The 19,303-nt window shown below is 37.6% G+C and overlaps 1 protein-coding gene across 2 annotated transcripts in view; it reads left to right on the plus strand.

The window, feature by feature from the left end:
• CFAP54 (cilia and flagella associated protein 54) overlaps window positions 1–19,303 on the plus strand; it is a 385,979-nt gene that overhangs the window by 295,013 nt on the left and 71,663 nt on the right. For both annotated transcript variants that reach the window (NM_001367885.1, NM_001306084.2), the window contains 3 exons: window positions 128–301; window positions 2,086–2,309; window positions 7,740–7,910. In NM_001367885.1, coding sequence (NP_001354814.1) covers window positions 128–301; window positions 2,086–2,309; window positions 7,740–7,910 — 569 coding nt within the window. The remainder of the gene's footprint in view (window positions 1–127; window positions 302–2,085; window positions 2,310–7,739; window positions 7,911–19,303) is intronic.

Below are 19,303 nucleotides of genomic sequence, written 5' to 3' on the forward strand. Positions count from 1 at the left end.
TTAAATTGAACATAGTATCATGTGTCAGCATTTCCTTTATGAGCTGTGCTTTTTTTCTGTTCATGATTGTTTTTCAAGGAAAGCATAATATAATATTGTATTACAAAAAAAAGTTTTTCACTTTCAGACAACTACCAAGTCCTCTTCCAGACTTCCTGTACATTTTTGTACCAAAATGATGATGTGTGTGACAGCGCAGATGGTAGAAAAAAGACTCAGACCAAAGTGGATATTACATGGATCCTTCTACTGCGCTACTATATTCACCTTCAGAGGATTAATAATCTGAGCAAACTGCTAGGTAGGTTTTTTGATGTGTTAAGAGAGAACATATTTCTTTCTAATTCCCATTTAAGTCATGTTTCTTGTTGAGAATTATAAGATACTTTTGACATCTTTCTGAGTGACTGTCATCAGAAGATGAAAATTTCATGGGTTCTTAACCTGGGATACATGCATCTTTGGATAGAATAGTACTTCAATGTAATTGGTTTCTTTAGAAATTCTATATATATTATTTCATATGTTTAAAAACATCATGATAAGGAGGCATCCAGAGGCTTTCCAAGACCACTGCCAAAGTTAAGAACTAGTGATTCCAATGTGACAGTTTATGAAATGAACAAGATGACATTTTGGCTTTAGAGAAAGAGTGGTCCAGTAGCCGGTATGTCAGAGGGAAGAAATGCATGACTTCAGATGGCATATTAATTCCGTGGAGTTTTTTTTTTTTAATCATTGGTGCTATCTAAAAAATATCCAGAAAAACTGATAAAATCTGCTTCACATTAGTCCCTCTTGTGATTGTGTGACATTGTTATGTTTTATCTGTGCTCATAATGTTGGTGATCCAGTGTTGCCCATCAGTGCAAACAGTCAGAAAAGACAATTTGACCCATGCCAGGGCACAGTGATGGGGAAACCAGAAGGGCAAATAGGCTGAGTCACAGAGTTGCTAAGCACAGTTACCAGGAGCTCACAAGCCCTCTGAAAGGTGTCAGGACGAAAAGGTTCATGGTGATGGGGGCTAGAGCAAGGGAAGTTCAGAGGGAAAGGACATGGACAAGAGCCAGTGCAGCCAGCCCTGGTGATCCCTTGCCCCTCAGCCAGTCTGCTCACCTCTGAATTCACCTGCTGGCACTTCCCACAAGTGCCATGTCTTACTGCTTTTCTGCCCTGGGCTTTCTTTGAAACTACTGAGGTTTGACCAGCCTGCAGACAGGGTTTCCGCAGACACAGGAGTAACCTTCAGCTATTGAGGTAGGGAGCTCCTAGATAAACATACCAGCTTCTCAGTCTCTCGACGGGACAGTTCTACGTGGTTTGTCAGAAGGTTCCCAGTGGGACTGAGCCCTCACTGCCCAAGGCTGTAGCCCACTCATTTACTCACCCTTATTGGCTCTTTTTGTTTTCTCTGTCACACTTTGTCCATTCCCTCACTTGTGCTTCTTGAAATGACTTTTCAAATAAACTGTCTACAAATTCTTACCTTAGGATCTGTTTTAGGGGGAACCCAAAAGAAAATAGGTACATGGAATGTATGGCACCATTGTTAATACCTAAAACTAAGCATTACCCTCATGTGCCTTTGAAATTTTCTTTTTTTTAATCTTTTTTTTTTTTTTTTGTCACCCACGCTGGTGTGCAAGGCTGCGATCTTGGCTCACTGCAACCTTCGCCTCCTGGGTTCAAGTGATTCTTCTGCCTCAGGCTTCTGAGTAGCTGGGATTACAGGCGTGTGCCACCATGCCCAGCTAATTTTTATATTTTTAGTAGAGATAGGGTTTTGCTATTTTGGCTAGGCTGGTCTCAAACTCCTGACCTCAGGTGATCCTCCCACCTCAGCCTCCCAAAGTGCTGGGATTATAGGCATAAGCCACCGCGCCTGGCCTGAAATTTTGTTTCCTTCTGTGGCAAGAAACAATTCCATTAGTGTATAAGCTCTAAAAACAGAGGGACGTCATTGGCAGCCTCTAGCGGAGGTGGGAATATGTAACGATAGTGGTTAGTGAGCAAATACCAGCAATATTGAGATCATCCCGTTTTCTAATATGAACCTAAACTAAGGTATTTTTCTTTCTTAAGCATCTGCAACACCAGTATCTGGAATTTCTTTGCCAGATGATACACTTCTCACATCCCTTTACAACTCTGAGTTGATTTTGCGCCAGAAAGAAGTGCATTTTTTCCTTAAAAAATTCTTACAGCTGTATTCTTCTTCTTGTATTGATGAATTTCCAAAAGAACTTCTTTGTCAACTGGAAAATCCCCCTCTTTCAGAAAAAGACTTACGTGAATCATCTGCCAAGGTAACGTTTTTTGAAACATGATATATTTACATAAAACTTCTTGGAATCATCATTATATTTCAGAAGGAAACACATTAGCTTCCATGCTGGCACAGATTTCTACTTCTCTCAGAGTTCTAGGGAAGGCTCATTCCTGTGTTACCATGTGGATAGGCTAACCAAACATCCTGGGATTTTAGGACAGTTCACATTTCAATTGTTCAGTCTTGTTCTCATAAGTCTTTTAAAATGCCTTAGAAGTTTCTATATTCCTGCACAAAACAGCATCTCTCAAGCAACCATTTTGCCAAAAAGTTACACAGATTTCAGTATCATCACTCTATAAGAAAACTAGACTGATAGTGTCTAAATCTGTGCCCAGTTTCTGTACTTTGGTTTTAAATGTGTGATAAAAATTATTCATTGTGAGTACCTTTTGCAATTGTGAGTGTAAATAAATAATAGAGGTAACACTTTAAAATAAATTAAAAGTGTGAAGACTTTTTATTTGGAAAAGTGTTATTAAATTGGATACATTTTCCCAAGATATGTAATATGGAAACTTTTTAAGGTATTGATTGTAGAGACATAAAAAGAGGAATATAAATGGAGATTTTTCAAAATTAAAGCTACTAAAGTCTTGAATAGCAGTAGTTTGGATAAACTTCCAAAATGAATGTGTTAAAAGACACTGAAAAAGTAAAGGATTTTACTTAAAAATAAGAATATGTATTTGAAATTTGGTATTCAACCAACCTATGTTGAATACCTACTGTGTGCCAGAGACACTGTTAGTTGGTGGAGAAAGGATGGATAAAGCGTAGTCCCTGTACATATAGTCTCAGTGTGGTAGTAGAGAAACAGTGACAGGGTTAAAACAGAAGAAAGTTACTTTATTTCAGAGATACTTTCTAAGAGAAAATCGCAGGATTAATACTAGCAGAAATAATGTGAAAATTAGTATATCTTAGTTTTACTTTCAATACTCTCAATAGGGCTGATTGGCAAAGGATAGATGAAAAAGTGAGGTTTTTTTTTTTTGGTTTTTTTTTTGAGACAGAGTCTCTCTCTGTCGCCCAGCCTGAAGTGCAGTGGTGTGATCTTTCTTGGCTCACTGCCGCCTCTGCCTCCTGGGTTCAAGCGATTGTCCTGTCTCAGCCTCCCGAAAAAGTGAGTTATTTAAGAAAGAGGTGATGAAGTCATGAAGCTTATGACACAAGAATGGAAAGGAAGAGATGGCTGTAAAACATATTTGCTTAAGTAACACTGAAAACAACAACAACCGAAACAGTTTTGTGACTCTTTGGAGCTGGAAAGTGAAGAGGAAATGACTAGAGCCTCTTGTACCATTTGGAACTTCTGTCTGTGATCATTAGTGCATGGTGACATCATTAGCACATACAGGGGAGGCAGGAGCATGAGCACATTTTTCTGCTTCGTAGATACAGAATTTGAGATTCTTGTAGAAAACTCAAGTGGACATAGCATATTGTAAGCTTCCAATACATATCTGTGAAATGAATAAGTTGTACAGAATTCTTTCAAAACTAGAAAAAAATCACTGATTTATTTTGAATTATCTCTACTTTGGACTTTACCATTGAACTCTTTAATTTTTATAGCTATAGATTTTCCCATATAAGATATGTTCATGTTACTGTTGCCAACTCTCCCAGAGAAGTTCCCAGAGAACTGAAAATGTGGCTTGTTCCAGAATGGTGACCCTTGCTTATCTTATCCTACTAGAATATAGCAACCTTATGTTTTGGGTAGATTAAATTATACATTTTTTTTTTTAAAAATCACTCTTTTGAACATTCCTTCCCTACTCAAGAGAGTCAGATGACTGTTAATAAATTGTAAGTTTTTAAAAGTAGTGGAAAAACCTATTAAGATATTTTTAAGAATCCAGTTAAAGAAATGATTCTCAGTTGGTGTTATGCAGTGGCCCTCAGTGCAATGTATTGAAAGCACACTGGAAGATTTTTCAAACGACTTCCTCTCTCCTAGATACTGGGATATTGTGGCATGCCCAATGCTCAGCAACCCCATTCTGTGCCCAGATTCTAAATCATTCAGGAAATAAGAGAAAAGAGTAAAACAGATTGGGATTTAAAAATGCTCATCTTTATGAGTGATGAAGTTGATATTATAGGATGTGGTTTATATTTATTGGTGAAATGATCTTCCTAGTAATGAGTACCAAAGTAGACAGATTTTCCAATCTGGCCTCATATTATTGGGTCATTTCAGGCTCCTCATGTGGGGACAGGCTCCTTAAAATCTGTTGCGTGAGGAGCAGAGAGTGTTCACTTCCTGCAAACATTTTACTCCCAGGAAGAAAGCGCAGAAATAGGCATGCCCAAAGTTCTTTTTCCCAGATTCAGCAATCGAGTAACACTCCCCCATGGGAAGGAGTGAGTGAGGACGTGAACAGGCCAGGAAGGTAATGTTAATGTCTGGCCCTGCACACAGAAGGGCACAGTGGGAGTAGAATGAAATCATTGCCATCTAACACCAGATTCAGATTCACCCCTCCTGGGAACTGAGACTATTTTTGAGGATTACTGCCAGGTGTCACAGATACCTCAGGCATTTTGGAGTAGGGGGCAGAGGACGGGAAGACTGAGAACAATAGTTTCAACTGATCTATTCTTGTGAATATTATGTAAGAGTTTGGAAACTAATAGGTGTGATTTCTTAAATACTGTTCTACAAGGAGCTCTGCTTGAGTATTTTAGTATTAAGGGCAGCCTATCATTACCCATTTCCTAAAGATTATGCTCCAAATGTTCAAGCTTGAATACGTTGTAAATACAAGTGACATTTCTAATGGCAACAGTGTTATCAAAGAGTTGTTTCACCCTGTTTGCTCTTTTTTGATATAATTAGTGTAACACTCCCCAGGAAAATCAGCTCTGGAGATCATTGTCTCTTGCCTGACAGGTGAAGCCACCTCATCATGTGTTCGTTTCACTGGGGTAGACAGCTAATGAGCATAAAGCCTTTCGGATTTATATATACATATATAAACTCCAAGCTTGGCTGATTTTTGTAATAACATTTTTGAACCTTTAATCACTCAGGAGGCTATTTCAATCAAACTCGTTCCATAATTTGATACTTAAACCTACTTTCCCCCACAAAGAAGTAGATGCCTTTCCAGAACAATCATTGCTCCGTGTTGTGCTCATCAGTTGTGTGATTCTGCATGTTGTCAAGTCTTTCGGAGCTTTGTGATGGAAAAACAAAGGTGGCAAACAAGTTACATTAAAAATTTCCCAAAAAGAATATGATTAAAACTGTGCATAATGCTGAGTTATTCATGCTTGGACTGTATGCTTGAATACAGTCAGTTGTAAGGTTAAATATCTGACTAGTGTGAGCTGCTTTATTGTTTATAGGACTGTGGCAAACCAAGGTTCTCCTGGTAGGCCTGTTGTTTTATTTCTTTCAAAGAACAAAAAAAAAAAATAGAATAAAAGTACTCAGTGTATAATTCATCAATTAGCATATGTAATGAATCCTCTTAGCAACTACATATATAGTATTTGAAAGGTAATGGAATATTAAATACCTATTTTGATATTGACTTATGTTTATAATTTATCATTATTAGACTACTGTGCTAATAAACAATGCACATATTGAAATAAAAGGTATTTTTACTTTTCAATACTTATCTAGTTATTGAATATGAATTGTTTGCTAAAATAGTTGTCAGAACCTCTGAAAATCACTCAGATATGAAGAAATTTAAGAAATTATTTTTTGAATTAATTATTTACTTGATTTTTTTTTGATGAACTGCCTGACATAAAATTATTCTTAATTAAGCACTTACAAATGATGATTTAACCCTGCTAATCTTGCTTATTGTGTATTTTGATCATGCTTTTAGAAGCAAGGATTCTGGTTTATAATAGCCTTTTATGATTGTCTCTAGACATTTAGAAAACTTTTCACATTTAATATTACCTTTCAGTCAAAACATTTTTTCTTTTATCAGTAGACAACTTGAAAGGTCAGTGTTTTTATTTCCGTTTTTATTTTATTTTGAAGACTTAACATTCACAGTCATATTATATCTTGAATAGGCTCAGAAATAATGGGAGGGACAAAGCCTTATAGAAACACCAGGCATTTCTTTCTGGCCACTGACAAATACTGCTTGGTCCTCAAACCTTGACAGGCCTTAGATATCAAAAAGACTGAAGTAGAGGGACCAATTCCCAGCTGCCATGCTACAAGCTTGGGTATAACAAGAAGTTAATATGGAAAGTAGTTTGCACTTCATTGAAGAACGCTTTTTTTTTTTTTTTTTTGAGACGGAGTCTCACTCTGTTGCCCAGGCTGCAGTGCAGTGGCGTGATATCGGCTCACTGCAACCTCAGAAGGTCCTTTTTTTAGACTTGAAATATTGTTTTTACCATTATTATCTCTATGGCTAGCCTATTGTTTTGTTGATCATTAGCAACCATGCTTTGCTTTTTCAGCTACCTTAAACAACTAATTAAGTAATTTACCAAATTGGCAATTGCATTCTATACATTTATATTTCTGAAGATTCCTCATTCAGTGACCAAAGTTGCATAAAAGAAGCTGGGCCCACATTCATCAAGGACAAAACTTACAAATCAGCCACATTCATTTAAGGAGAGGAGGATTTTAACTTTTCAGAGCAAGTGGGTTTTACAGCAATGGATTTTAGACTTTGGAGCAAAATATGTCTTATTTTCCATATGGCATTGCAAAAAAATACTATTGGAAAAATAAATAGTAATTTATAACCACACCCTTAGTGTATTCACCAGTGAAAAAAACAGAAACCAAATAGGTGTTCCTAGAAACAGTGGTAATGTTGAGACTGAAATGTTGGCATGGGCGTTTTCCCTGCTAGATCTTCACCCTGTAAGACTTACCAGAGTGGAAGAGATTTGTTGAGTTCACTGGGTTCTGAAGCATTTTTTTTTCTTTTTTTTTTTTTTTTGAGATGGAGTCTTGCCCTCTCGCCCAATCTGGAGTGCAGTGGCACGATCTCAGCTCACTGCAACCTCTGCCTCCCAGGTTCAAGCAATTCTCCTGCCTCAGCCTCCTGAGTAGCTGGGATTACAGGCGCACGCCACCATGCCCGGCTAATTTTTGTATTTCTTTAGTAGAAGCGAGGTTTCACCATGTTGGCCAGACTGGTCTCGAACTCCTGACCGTGTGATCCACCTGCCTCTGCCTCCCAAAGTGCTGGGATTACAGGCGTCAGCCACCGCGCCTGGCCAGCATATTTTTACTGTAGGAGAATCTTCTCTGTAGTAAGCCAGGGTTAGTTTTAAGATTTACCTCCATAAAACAAGCTGAGACAATCCCAGAATTTTTCAATATAGCCAAATAATTTGTTTCATATATGTAACAAATTTATTACCAGTAATTAAACTGATGTTTTTGTTTGTTCCCTAGTTGTATCGCGATAGTTCTGTACAATCCATTTTATCTTTTAAGCCTGTTTCAGGCTCATCTTGTGTGGACATAACGCCAATAGAAATGGTAACGCAAGCTTCAAACAAAGAACTTTGCTTTCAATGGTACATTCCTCCCCTGGATAGACCTCCCAAGGAGACAGAACCTATGGTATGTAATGTACTTATAGAACTCAATATTTCATTTATATATAAAGCTTAACTAAACCATTATAACTTGGAGAGTAGAGGACATTCTCTTATCATATAGATGAGAACAGGTATCAATATATAATCTACATTGTCTAGTAGAATAAATTTGAAAATAACCAAGAAATCGGGGAAAGTCTGATTCAGGCTGATCATTTTTCTTTTTCCTGATCCCATAGGGAAAATTTTCAGTGTGTCACCATTATATATGATGCTTAACTTTTTTTTGGTAGTTATTCTTTATCATGTTAAAGAATTTTTTTACTGCTATTTTGCTAAGAATATTTACCATGAATATTTTACTGTATCTATTAAGATTATTTTTATAATTTTTCTTTTTAATATTTAATTGATTTTATAATGTTAGATCAATGTTGTGTTTCTGAGATAAACTCAAATTGGTCATGATATATTTATTTTGCTGGATTCAGTTTGCTATTATTTGTATTAAATTTTCACCTCTGTTTTCCTGAGTAATATTGGGCTATTTTTATACTATTCTTTTTTAAATTTTATTATTTTTTAATTTCAATAGGTTTTTGAGGAACAGGTGGTTTTTGGTTACATGGATAAGTTCTTTAGTAGTGATTTCTGAGATTTTGGTGCACCCATCACCCAAGCAATGTACACTGTACCCTGCCTCACCCCTGCTCCACCCTCTCCCCCGAGCCCCCAAAATCTATTGTATCATTCTTATACATTTGCATCCTCATAGCTTAGCTCCTGTCTCATGAGTGAGAACATATGATGTTTGGTTTTCCATTCCTGAGTTACTTCACTTAGAATAATAGTCTCCAATTCCATCCAGGTTGCTGTGAATGCCATTATTTCATTCCTTTTTATGGCTCATTAGTATTCCATGGTGTGTATGTGTGCATATGTATATATCACATTTTCTTTATCCACTCACTGATTGATGGGCATTTGGGCTGATTTCATATTTTTGCAATTGTGAATTGTGCTGCTATAAACGTTCGTGTGCAAGTATTTTTTTTTCTTTGTATAATGACTTTTTTCCTCTGGGTAGATAGTCAGTAGTGGGATTGCTAGATCAAATGGTAGATCTACTTTTAATTCTTTAGGGAATTTCCACACTGTTTTCCATAGTGGTTGTACTAGTTTACATTTCTACCAGCAGTGTAAAAGTGTTCCCTTTTCACCACATCCATGCCAACATCTATTATTTTTTGATTTTTTGATTATGGCCATTCTTGCAGGAACAAGATGGTATTTGCATTGTTGTTGTTTTGATTTGTATTTTCCTGATCATTAGTGATGTTGAGCATTTTTTCATGTTTGTTGGCCATTTGTATATCTTCTTTTGAGAATTGTCTATTCATGTCCTTAGCCCACTTTTTGATGGGATTTTTTTCTATTTTCTTGCTAGTTTGTTTGAGTTCCTTGTAGATTCAGCATTTGTTTGTCTGAAAAAGAGTGTATATTTCCTTCATTTATGAAGCTTAGTTTCACTGGGTGCAAAATTCTTGGCTGACAATTGTTTTGTTTAAGGAGGCTAAAGATAAGACCCAGATCTTTTCTAGCTTGGTAGGGTTTCTGCTGAGAAATCTGCTATTAATCTTGTAGATTTTCCTTTATATGTTATCTGATACTTTTGTGTCACAGCTCTTAAGATTCTTTCCTTCATCTTAACTTTAGCTAACCTGATGACTATGTGCTTAGATGGTGATACTTTTGCAATGAATTTTCATGGTGTTCTTTGAGCTTCTTGTATTTGGATGTCTAGATCTCTAGTAAGGCCAGCGACATTTTCCTTGATTGTTTCCTCAAATACATTTTCCAAACTTTTAGATTTCTCTTCTTTCTCAGCAGTATTAATTATTCTTAGGTTTAGTTGTTTAACATAATCCCAAACTTCTTGGAGATGTTGTTCTTTTTTTATTCTTTTTTTTTTTGTCTTTGTTGGATTGGGTTAATTTGAAAGCCTTGTCTTTGAGCTCTGAAATTCTTTCTTATACTTGTTCGATTCTATTGTTGAGACTTTCCATTGTATTTTGCATTTCTTTAAGTGTGTCCTTCATTTCCAGGCTTTGTCATTGTTTTTTATTTATGCTGTCTATTTCTCTGAAGATTTTTCCATCCATATCTTGTAACATTTAAAACATTTCTTTAAATTGGTATTACCTTTCTCTGGTGCCTCCTTGAGTAGCTTAATAATCAACCTTCTGAGTTCTTTTTCTGGCAATTCAGAAATTTCTTCTTGGTTTGGATCCATTGCTGGTGAGCCAGAGGGATCTTCTGGGGGTGTTAAAGAATCTTGTTTTGTCATATTACCAGAATTGTTTTTCTGGTTTCTTCTCATTTGGGTAGACTAGGTCAGAGGGAAGATCTGGGACTCAGGGGCTTCTGTTGAGATTCTTTTGTCCCATGGGGTGCTCCGTTGATGTGGTGTTCTCCCCCTTCCCCTAGGGATGGAGCTTCCTGAGAACTGAACTGCAGTGATTGTTATTTCTCTTCTGGGTCTAGGCACCCATCGAAGCTACCGGGCTCTGGGCTGGTACAGAGGAGTGTCTGCAAAAAATCCTGTAATATGATCCACCTTCAGGTCTCTCAGCCATGGATACCAGCACCTGCTCTGGTGGAGGTAGTAGGGGAGTGAAGTGGATTCTGTGAAGGTCCTTGATTGTATTTTTTTTAGTGCACTGGTTTTGTGTTGGTTGGCCTCCAGCCAGGAAGTGGTGCTTTCAAGAGAGCATCAGCTGATAGTATAGGTAAGACACAAGGTTGCCCTAGGGTTGCCTGGATAAATATTTGGGTTTCTCAGGTGGTGGATGAGGACATAGAGCTCTGAAGAGATTATGTCCTTTGTCTTTGGCTACCAGAGTGGTATAGAAAAACAATTAGGTGGGTGCAGGGTTAGGCGTGTCTAAGCCTAGACTGTCCTTGGGCAGGGCTTGCTGTGGCTGCTGTGGGAGATGATGGTGTGGTTCTCAGGTGGATAGAGTTACGTTCTCGGGGAGATTATGGCTGCCTCTGCTGCATCATACAGGTTGCCAGGGAAGTGGAGGAAAGCTGGCAGTGACAGGCCTCACCCAGCTCCCACATGGCCCAAAAGTCCAGTCTCACTCCCACCGTGCCCTCCCAATGTCAGTGAGTTTATTTCTAGGCAGCTGGTGAGCAGGGCTGAGAACATGCCCCAGACTACAAGCCTCCCCGCTAAGAAAAAAAGCAGGACTTTCAGGTTTCGAGCCCCTCTACTTCTGTGCTTGTGTCTGCACTCCCCATTTGCCCCCTCCTCCAGATTCTGTCCAGGAAACTTTATATTTGGTTGAAATTGCTACAAAGTTCAGCTGGAAGTGTTCTTATCCCTGTGATCTTTCCCCAATTCCACTGGCAGCCCTCCCCAAGGATCCCTGCGAGATCAAGTTAGAAATGTCTTCCCTGGGGACTGAGAGTGCCCACAGGGCTCTTCCTGCTGCTTCCTCCACCCTGTATTTTGCTTGGCTCTCTAAATTTGTCTCAGCTCCAAGTAAGGTCACATCCTTCTCCTGTGATATGGACCCTCAGATTCCCCAGTGAGGATGTTTGTTTGAGGGTGGACATTCCCCCTCTCACACATTGGGCACTCACAGTTTTGGCTATCTTATGGGGCCTGCAGCAGCAAGCCACTTCCTTCAGAGGGTCAGTGGATTCTCTCAGCTTTCCTGGTATGTTCCTGTGTTAGTTCTTGTGAGTCTCCACAGGCTGCTCTGTCCATTCGAGTGGGAACTGCAAGTTCGGCCTATCTCCTATATGCCATTCTTGCTCTTATTATGCTTTTATACTATTCTTGTCAGATGTTTTTCATATCACGATTTTGCTAGAATCATAAAATGAATTGATAAATATATTGTGTTTTACTATTTTCTGGAGAAGTTTGTGTAAATTTGGAGTACCTTTTTTTATTTGATTGTTTGTTAGAACTCATCAGTAAAGCCAGCTGAACCTACTGTTTTCTTTCTGAGAAATAGCGATATCATTCTTAATAGTTTTATGCAGTCTTTAAGCAATAGTACTAGTGTACTGGTTTTCGGAAGTGGTGTCAGTTCTGATTGGGCCAATATCTTCTCTGGTAGTTTGTGCCTGTGTTAAACCAAGTTTTAAATGTTCTATCATTTTTGTTTACAAGACATTTTGGGTTGTCTGTTTCTTCTGAGTCAATTTTAAGTTGCTGTTCTAGGAATTTGACCATTTTATTTAAAATTCCTCTCATATTTTAAATCTATTTAATGTGTTTGTAATGATGTACGCTTTTTCATTTCTTATATTGGTTATTTGTGTATTCTCCTCTTTTTCTTGAAGTTTTTAGTTAGTTTTGGTTAATATATCTTTTTCTACTTTTTTGTGTTATTTTCCTAGCTGCTGACTTATTGCAATAAATGTTTAGCTCAGTATTCAGCTTTTTCTTACCTAATATATGCATTTTGAAGCTATGACTTTCTCTCTAAACATTGTTTTGGCTGCATCCCACAATTTTTTTATTATAGTGTTGACATCATCATCAATCAGTTAAAAATAGTTTTGTAAAATTTTCATTACGATTTCTCCTTTGGCTCATGGACTATTTTGACAAGTGTTTCTAAAATTCCAAACTATGTGGAGCTTTTCTAGTTATCTTTTGTTATCTATTCCCAGATTGTGTTGTTTTGTGGTAATAAAAAATTTTAGTGTGATTACTATTTGTTGAAACTCGATTTTTTTTTTCACCAGGAAAGTGTTAATTGTGTAAGTAATCTATTGCTCTTTAAGAGAATATGTACTCTTCAGTTGTTGAGGAAGTATTTATGTGTAGTAGGTGAGTTTGGCCAGTCTTGTTCAAATCATCTATATGCTTGCTGATTTTTCCATTTCGTCTGCCTTTTTTAAAAAATTAATTACTAAGAGAAGTATGTTTAAATCTTTCACTATGATTGTCATTGTTTAGTTTTTTCTTACAGTTCTCTCAAATTTTGCTTTACTTAATTTGAGGCTGTGTTCTTGGGTGCAATCAGATTGATAGCTGTTATATCATCTTGGTGAATTGAACATTTTATCATTTTGATAATAGTACTTTTCTTAATTATGCTTTTTAAATTACATGACCTTTTTGTAATAATGTTCACTTTCCCATAAAGCCTGCTTTATCTGATGCTAACATAGGAAAGTGGCTTTATTTTGCTTATTATTTTCATGGTAATATTTTTCCAGCCATTTGCTTTCAACCCTTCCATGTACCTGTGTTTAAATTTTGCTTCTTATAAAAGGTATGTTCTTGGATATTTAAAAATATTGTCTAACAATATTACCTTCTGACTGAATAATCCATTAATGTAAATACTAATATATTTGGTTTAAATCTACCTTGCTTTTGCTTGTCCTGGATTTTGTTGTTTTTCCTCTCCTTTAATATCTACTTTTGGATTGATTTCTTTATCATTCATTTTTTCACTATAAGTTTTGAAATTATGCATTCTTTTTGTGCTTTTAGTGGTTACCTTCAGGACAACATACGTACTTAACTTATTAAAATCTACATTGATGTGTATTTACTCCCCTAATGACTTACATGGCATTACTGTACATTTTCCTTTTTAACCCAAAATAATAGTATTATTTTTATTTGTTTTTCTTGTTTTATACAAGAAATGTTTGTTTTTTAAATTAATCTCCTACATATTTACTATTTGGTTTGTTTTTTACTCCCTCTTGCATTTTAGACGTTTCTTCTAGGATTACTTCGTTCTGTTGAAGTACATGCTTTAGAATTTCCTTTGGTGAGGATCTTCTGGAGGCAAACACTTCCAATTTTTGATTGCCTGTACATGTCATTATTTTACATTTATTTGTAAAATAAATTTTCATGGGGTAGATAATTTAAGGTCAGAAATCATGTTGTTTCAACACATTCAAAACCTCATCTACTCATTTCCATTTTTGCTGTTGAGAGTTAAGCCGTTGCTGCTTTGGAAGTTTTAGGACTTCTTTAACCAGTTTCTTTTGAGATTTTCCTCTTTGTTTTTTGCATAGTTGTACTGAGAATGGTCTTCTTTTTATTTTAGTGGGTAAGAACACATACTCTGGAACTAAACTGCCTAGGTTTGAATCTCATCTCTGCCACTTAACAGTTTTGTGATCTTGAGTAGATTAGTTAACTTTTCTGCATCAAGGTTACCCTCATCTGTAATTAGAGATAACTATAAACTCCTAACCTCAATAAAGAGTAGTTGTCATTATTATGTGAAATTATTTTTAAATTATTATGTTTTTAAAGTTTAATAGCTTCAAATATACATGAAGTATACTTGGTAATCATTATTTAAAGGCACCTTTAATGTTTATCAACAATATCTCCTTATAGATACTTTAGCTTTCAACATTCTGCAGAAAAGAGAGTAAACTGTGCCTAACCAGCGAATTAAGTACATAGCAAATAAGAGAAAACCTTAGTTTGCCTCTAAATGCAGTTTACATATTTGTATCGTAGATATAATTTATTTTAATGTATGTTATCCTTATATTTATATCCATTATCTATACCTTTATTCATATCTATATCCATATGGATGGACATTTGCAATAGGGCTAATTGGAGGATAGAAGGAAGGAGGGGACAAGTATTTAGGAGCAGTTCAGTATCAATCCATGAATTACTGGAGATTGAACAGTAATTCAGATTTTAGGATAGCCTTGAAAATGGGTCAAGCTTTTAAAAACGCAGCAGTTGGTCAATATAGCCTTTCACAGAGGGACATTCCACCATAGAATTCCTTTGATTGCTGCTTTGTGTAAGAAGAGCCTCAGGCTTTTTCCCATAAAACATTTGCCTTATAGTTTTGCCGTGTTCAGCATTTTTATTTGCTTTTTGTGTTCTGCATTGGTCTATTCTTGCACTTCCCAGCTCTTGAGTGCTGTCCCCTCTAGCTGCGCCTCTGGTAGCTTCTGCAACTCCTTGACTCATGTGACCCATGTCAAATCATGAAACCTCCTGGGCCTGCCTCTCTTTGTTCTCCAGCACCATTTCTCACTTTGGCCCCTTCATTCTGCTACCTTAGGCTGGAAATCTGCTACTAACTCTTGGTCAATTATAATTCTCTTCCTATCCAGATACAAAAGAGAAACTTTAGCATATAACTCTCCAGATACCTTTCATGCTATTTCACATATTTTAAAAGTACTCTCCCTTCCAGTTAAATCCTTGCCAGATATTCCATATACATTTAAAAATAATGAATTTGTAGTCTCTTTTAGGGGAATGTAGTGCAGTAGTTTTCAAATTATGATTAAAAATAGTAATGGGTCAAGGAGTATAGTGAATCATAAATAGCATTTTTTAAAAAGAAATGAAACACAAAAAACACTAGAATGCTCTGCATATAAAAATGTTTCCTGAAACTTCCATTTTATGATATATATTGTTAAAAACAAAATTTCTTAGGTTGGTCTTCAGCATACGTCAAATTTTATTTACTTGCTGGCAAGGAGCTAATAAAAGATTATATCCATTCGGAGAGGGTTTGGAAATGGAAGGAATACATAGTCGGGAAACAGAATGTTTACCTAAGCAGTTAGTTTTAAAAAGAGGAAGAAAGCATAAAGTTTATTTCACAAGGTCACAGAAACACCATATCCATATCAGTTATTACAAGGGCAGTTTGCGGCAGGATAATTTGAGATGTCTGTATGCTGCTATTGGAAAAACAAAACAAAACAACATCTAAGAAGCAAATGCTAAGAATATCTTTGTGGCTGACAATTAGTGTAACAAGGTTTTATCCATCAACAGTTGTGTCTGACAATTAACATAGAAGCATGAACTAGTGTCAAGCAGAGATCAGAAGCAGAACACCAACTAAAAAATTCAGATTTAAGCAAATTGCTTGAGTGATTTTCTCTAGTCACAAGAAAAGATGCAGAACACACCATTTTTCCATTTTTTAGTTTGAGAATATTTTTCCCCTTTGACAATAAGCATGTATGTATTGGGTCATGATAAAAGATGTAGTTGCTGCCATAATGTTCAGTCAAAAAGTCAAGAAACACTGACCTAGATGCACTAGATCTCAGACTCCAGATTTTATCGTTTTGGAAGAAAAAGCTGAAATTTGTTTGATTTAAATATGGGTGTATTTAAGCATTCATCTACTCATCGTTTTAGGATTTTAGCATTGAGTTTAATGTTGAATAACTGGCTGAAGCTCGTGAAACCCACAAGATAATAATAAGAGAGAAAACTAATGTAGAACTCACTATGTTCAAAGCACTTTACTTACATCATTTCACAGCAACTCTATAAGATAAACGCTTTCATTAGCCCCCTTTTACAAAAAAGGAAGTGAGACACAGGATGGAAGAATATTAGTGGGCAAGGAGTCAGGACTGAAGCAATCTGACTCCAGAGTCTGCACATCTGAGCATGGTGCCATATTGAGTCCCCAGATGATGGTCCTGGCTATAGGCACTTCTAGCTTCTTGAAAGGATGGTAATGAAAATTAATAACTGACTTGAAGCTTTGGAGTTTTCAGGGACAAAAAGAATCATTGTGTGACGATGCAATTTAACATCCCTTGATCCACCCACTTGGTCCCTTTAGTTTATTCACCACATTGAAGCATAAATACCAATAGGAACTAGGGATGCTGGTGGCAGCAGAGTTGAAATCCCAGCATTGGGGATTTTGATATGACATTTTTCAATAATTCAGAGGGCTAATACTCCATGCCACAATACTTTGGAGTTAAGTTCACAGCTTTGAAAATCTTAGCTTCTTGAGTATACGAGGTAGAAATTATTCTATCCTGGTTGACAAAATTATCTTTAATAGAATATAATAGAACCACATTACAAGCTATTCATTGGAACTTTGTACAAACTGAGCATCTTTTGAACAATTTCAAAATCTTATACGGAGAAATACTAACTAAGCTGCCAGGGACTATCATTTTAATGAACCTCCCAGACAATGGCTTTAAAAATAGCTGCAAAGGGTGGTTTATTTAATTCAGAGAGACATACTACTACAGTTTAACTGTAAGAAGATGTAACCACGGCTAAAGGTTTGATTGACCAAATTTGTCTCCAGATCGTACCTTAGGACTTTTAGCTTTATCCTGTCTCATCTTCCTGCTCTTTTTAGGATCCAGCATTCCTAGGAGGATCCAGCCCATTTGAGGAACAGAATAAATTTGAATTATGTTTATAACTTGGGAAGGCTCAAGGAATACAAGTCACAGCTAATAGGGAGGAGGGGTAATAAGGAATCAGTAGCTGGCCCTTCCTTTGGGCACCTGACAACTAATTTGGAGGGAATCATTGCTGCTACAAACGTTGTTGTGTGGGCTGAGTTTGGGCTGACATGGCTGTAGCTGCCAGCTGGCCAAGGAGGGACAGGAAACTAGGCTCTCCTATGCATATCTAGGATAATACTCACTGCCCTCCAATGGGCTGCTGTGAAACTGAGAAGTGAGCGGACCACACTTCCTACAGCTTCTTGCTCATATTGCATGGCTGGGAAGGGTCCTGCCCTCCCTGATTGCAGGCCTAAGGTGCTGTTTTGAGAGTTTAACGCTGGGCTGTGCCCCAACTTCAGAACGAGTTTGAGTTGATGTGGCAGCAGCTGCTGCCTGACCAAGGAGGGACAAGAAAACCAGTCTCTCCTATGCATACCTAGAACAATACCCACCACCCTGCTACAGCCTGCGGTGAGATCGAGACTCAAGCAGACTGCATACCTCACAGATTCTTGCCCATGCTGCTTTCCTGAGGGGGACACCACCCCACCCACTCTGGTCACAAAGCCACAGCTGGCACCATTTTGAGAGTTTAATGTTGGGCTATACCTTACTCTTGGGCCGAGTTCAAGGCCCACCCAGCTAAGGGAGGAACAGGGGAGACCAAACTATCCTAAGCACACTTAGGACAACACCCACTGCCCTACTATGGGCAACTGTGAGACTGAGGACTAGTCCACTCAATCCATTGCAGCTACCAAGAACACCAACACAGACTCCTTGGGTCCTAGTGGGTTGCTCCATCAGTGCTATAGCCACCACCCATATGACACCAGCTGCCTAGGGGCTTGAGAACCTGCCCACACATCTGGCCGACTACTCCCACTACTAACTTCTTTATTATTATTATTATTATACTTTAAGTTCTGGTATACATTTGCAGAACATGCAGGTTTGTTACATAGGTATACATGTGCCCTGGCTGTTTGCTGCACCTATCAACCGGTTTGCTGCACCTATCAACCTGTCATCTAGGTTTTAAGACCCACATGCATTAGGTATTTGTCCTAATGCTCTCCCTCCCCCTGCTCCCTACCCACCGACAGGCCCCAGTGTGTGCTGTTCCCCTCCCTGTGTCCATGTGTTCTCATTGTTCAACTCCCACTTATGAGTGAGAACATGTGGTGTTTGGTTTTCTGTTGCTGTGTTAGTTTGCTGAGAAAATGGTTTCCAACTTCATCCATGTCCCTGCAAAGGACATGAACTCATTCTTTTTAATGGCTGCATAGCATTCCATGGTGTATATGTGCCACATTTTCTTTATCCAGTCTATCATTGATGGGCATTTGGGTTGGTTCCAAGTTTTTGCTATTGTAAATAGTGCCGCAATAAACACACGTGTGCATGTGTCTTTACAGTAGAATGATTTATAATCCTTTGGGTATATACCCAGTAATGGGATTGCTGGGTCAAATGGTATTTCTGGTTCCAGATCCTTGAGGAATTGCCACACTGTCTTCCACAATAGTTGAACTGATTTACACTGCACGAACAGTGTAAAAGTGTTTCTATTTCTCCACAGCCTCTGTTGTTTCCTGACTTTTTGATGATCACCATTCTAGCTGGAATGGGATGGAATCTCATTCCTGCTACTAACTTCTAAGCAAGCCACCTAGAAGCCCATGAATCAGCCCTCCAGGATTCACTAACACTGGAGCCTGTGAAACCTGCTCTGAGGCTTAAAAACAAGCACATTTACCCCACTGCTGCCACCAGTGGGGTCTGGAGGCGGCTTAGTTTGTGTCCAGATCTGCAGCAAAACTTCACCATAACCTCAACTAATAACTCTACCCTAAGCCACCAAGGAAACCAGGAATACCACTGACCTTGTGTATTGTCAAAGAAGTAACACAAAGTTTGAACTATCGCAGTCACCCAAAATCAAAGCCAAAATAGCCTACTCAACCAACAACATATATACACCCTCAGGAAAAAATAATTGTCCCCTACAAAAGCAATTTCATAAAATTGGAACAAGTAACTGCTACATCAGATGCACATATCAATGGAAGGACATAGTTAACATGAAAAAGCAGGACATACTATACAACCAAAGGACCACAACAGTCATCCAGCAATAAATCCTAATAA

Source organism: Homo sapiens, chromosome 12 (assembly GCF_000001405.40).
Source record: "Homo sapiens chromosome 12, GRCh38.p14 Primary Assembly".
NCBI classification, from domain to species: Eukaryota; Metazoa; Chordata; class Mammalia; order Primates; family Hominidae; genus Homo; species Homo sapiens.